Source organism: Homo sapiens, chromosome 1 (assembly GCF_000001405.40).
Source record: "Homo sapiens chromosome 1, GRCh38.p14 Primary Assembly".
In the NCBI taxonomy this organism is placed as follows: domain Eukaryota; kingdom Metazoa; phylum Chordata; class Mammalia; order Primates; family Hominidae; genus Homo; species Homo sapiens.
The window spans coordinates 198,631,691-198,634,101 of NC_000001.11; the positions used below are offsets into that span (position 1 = coordinate 198,631,691).

Consider the following 2,411-nt stretch of genomic DNA (forward strand, 5'->3'; position numbering starts at 1 on the left):
CCCTTCATGTGTGAAAAGTTACAAGACTTTCTCAGTAAGATGGATTTGGAAACTGGTCTCAGAGTTCATTACCTATGCTGTATAGTTCTTTGTATTTATTACTGGCTTATTAAGCAGTCTGGATTCAATCAGGTATAAATATTAAACATCATATATTATCTTGCCACTGGTCAGCTATGCTTCTGTATTTCATTGATTCTAAGATGCACATTTTATAAAACATATTTTAGGGTTGCCGAAGTCAGGATGCATCTTGAAACCAACAAGTATCTTTAAGTTAATAAAGCTAAGAATATTTAATTTCCTCTTTCCATCTTTTAACAATATATATGGCAGGTCCCACAACTTCCTAGTAACTTTTGAGTAAAAACAACCCAAAGTTCATTTCAGGCCAGTTGAATACTTTACTTTCATATCTAGTTTAACTCTTTCACCTCTTCTTTATCTTTAGTACCCATCAGGACTTTGCCTGTGACATCTGCAGAAGGGAACACATATTTCTTTTCTACTTATCTTTGTATTTGCATTTTACACAAAGGCAGAGAGATATGTTTTATCAAGTACTACATATTTCTTTTCTCAATGCCTAAATTTTCAAAATACAAAATGGCAGAACGCAAAAATGTTTCCTGGTCGGGTCCTAGGGGAACTCTTCTCCCTCCCTATATTTCTTCTGTTGGGGTTAGAAAGAGGAATAGGATGTATGCTATGTTGGTGTATGTTTAATTATAACCAAGTGTGTTTACTTTATACCATTTATTGAATGTTTGCTTAATATGCTTAGTTCTCATGGCAACACTTAAAAGTATTATTATCTCCATATTAGAGAGATGAGATCATTGCTAGAACTAGGATTTAACCATGTTTCTTGGCCACTAGGAAAAATATTTTCTTAAAACACCATATTAAAGAACTACAGTGTTGGCATTGATCATTGAGACATAGGTATATATGCACTGGGTGTATCTAAGATGACCAGGAAAGTTAAGATTCTAGTGCTCAAAATGAGAAAAACTTTCAAAGCAGCACCACCTCCCACCTTGGTCAATTTGCCAGTGGTAAGACTTGTCTTTGTCTGTATTTGCATTTTACCCAAACACGGTACCACATATTTCTTTCCTCAATGCCTATGTTTTCTTTTCTTTTTTCTTTTCTTTTTTTTTAGATGGAGTCTAACTCTGTTGCCGAGGCTAGAATGCAGTGGCATGGTCTTGGCTCACCATAACTCCGCCTCCTGGGTCCAAGTGATTCTTGTGCCTCAGCCTCCTGAGTAGCTGGGATTTTGGGGACATACCACCACACCCTGCTAATTTTTGTATTTTTAATAGAGACGGGGTTTCACCATGTTGGCCAGGCTGGTCTCGTACTCCCAACTTCAAGTGATCTGCTTGCCTTGGCCTCCTAAAGTGCTGGGATTATAGGCGTGAGCCACCACGCCCAGCCCTCAATGCCTAAATTTTCAAAAGACAAAATGACAGAATGCAAAAAATGTATTTCTAGAACAAATCTTAGAGATGTAGAAGTAGTCTCTCCTTTGTGCTCCTATATTTTCATTCATTGATAAGGATGTGTATACAATTTTGTAATTGCTAGAGTTAAGTAATTTGGTAATTTATTTAACTGGTAAACACTTCTACTGTCATCATTCTTTGCCTGTGCAACAGCACAAGCTTCTCCACCGTTCTCCCAATTCTTACTCTTGCCAACCCCCAATATGTTGACCACGCCACAGCTTCATGTGTAAATCTTCTCATTCATTCTTCCATTTATTTAACATGTATCACATATGGCAACCATTATATTAAGTACTGCCTAAGCCTCATGGTCTATCATCCGGAACAGTGGTCCCCGACCTTTTTGGCACTGGGGACCGGTTTCATGGAAGACAATTTTTTCATGGGCTGGGTCAGGGGATAGTTTTCAGATGAAACTACCCCACCTCAGATCATCAGGCATTAGTTAGATTCTCATAAGGGGCATGCAACATAGTTCCCTTTCCTGTGCAGTTCAGAATAGGGTTTGCACTCCTTAGTGAATCTAATGCCACCGCTGATCTGACAGGAGGTGGAGCTCAAGCAGTAATGCGCAATGGCTTGCAACTCACCTCCTGCTGTGTGGCCTGGTTCCTAATAGGCCACAGATGGATACCAGTCCACAGCCCTGGGGTTGGAGACCCCTTATCTAGAGGACAGGCTTGTGTTCTTGGCAGGGAGTTGGATATGAACATACAGATATATCCCAGAATTTGGAGAAAACAAACAAGGTTCTGAGAAAGAAAGTAACTTAGAGAGGCTTCTTTTATGTAGGATGGTCAGGGAAACTCCATTGAGGAAGTGACATTTATGCTGTTACCAGAAGGAAGTTATGTAGAGTGGTTGGTGGGGGTGAACCAGAAAAGCATCTTGGGAAGA

General features: G+C 39.5%; 1 annotated feature.

Moving 5' to 3' along the window:
- Positions 1,996 to 2,411: a transcriptional cis regulatory region, noted in NCBI's record as "candidate enhancer chr1.10450 targeted for multiplex CRISPR interference". NCBI's record gives its function as "positively regulates PTPRC gene expression with high confidence in K562 cells {active_cell/tissue: K562}" and the evidence as "EXISTENCE:mutant phenotype evidence [ECO:0000015][PMID:30612741]".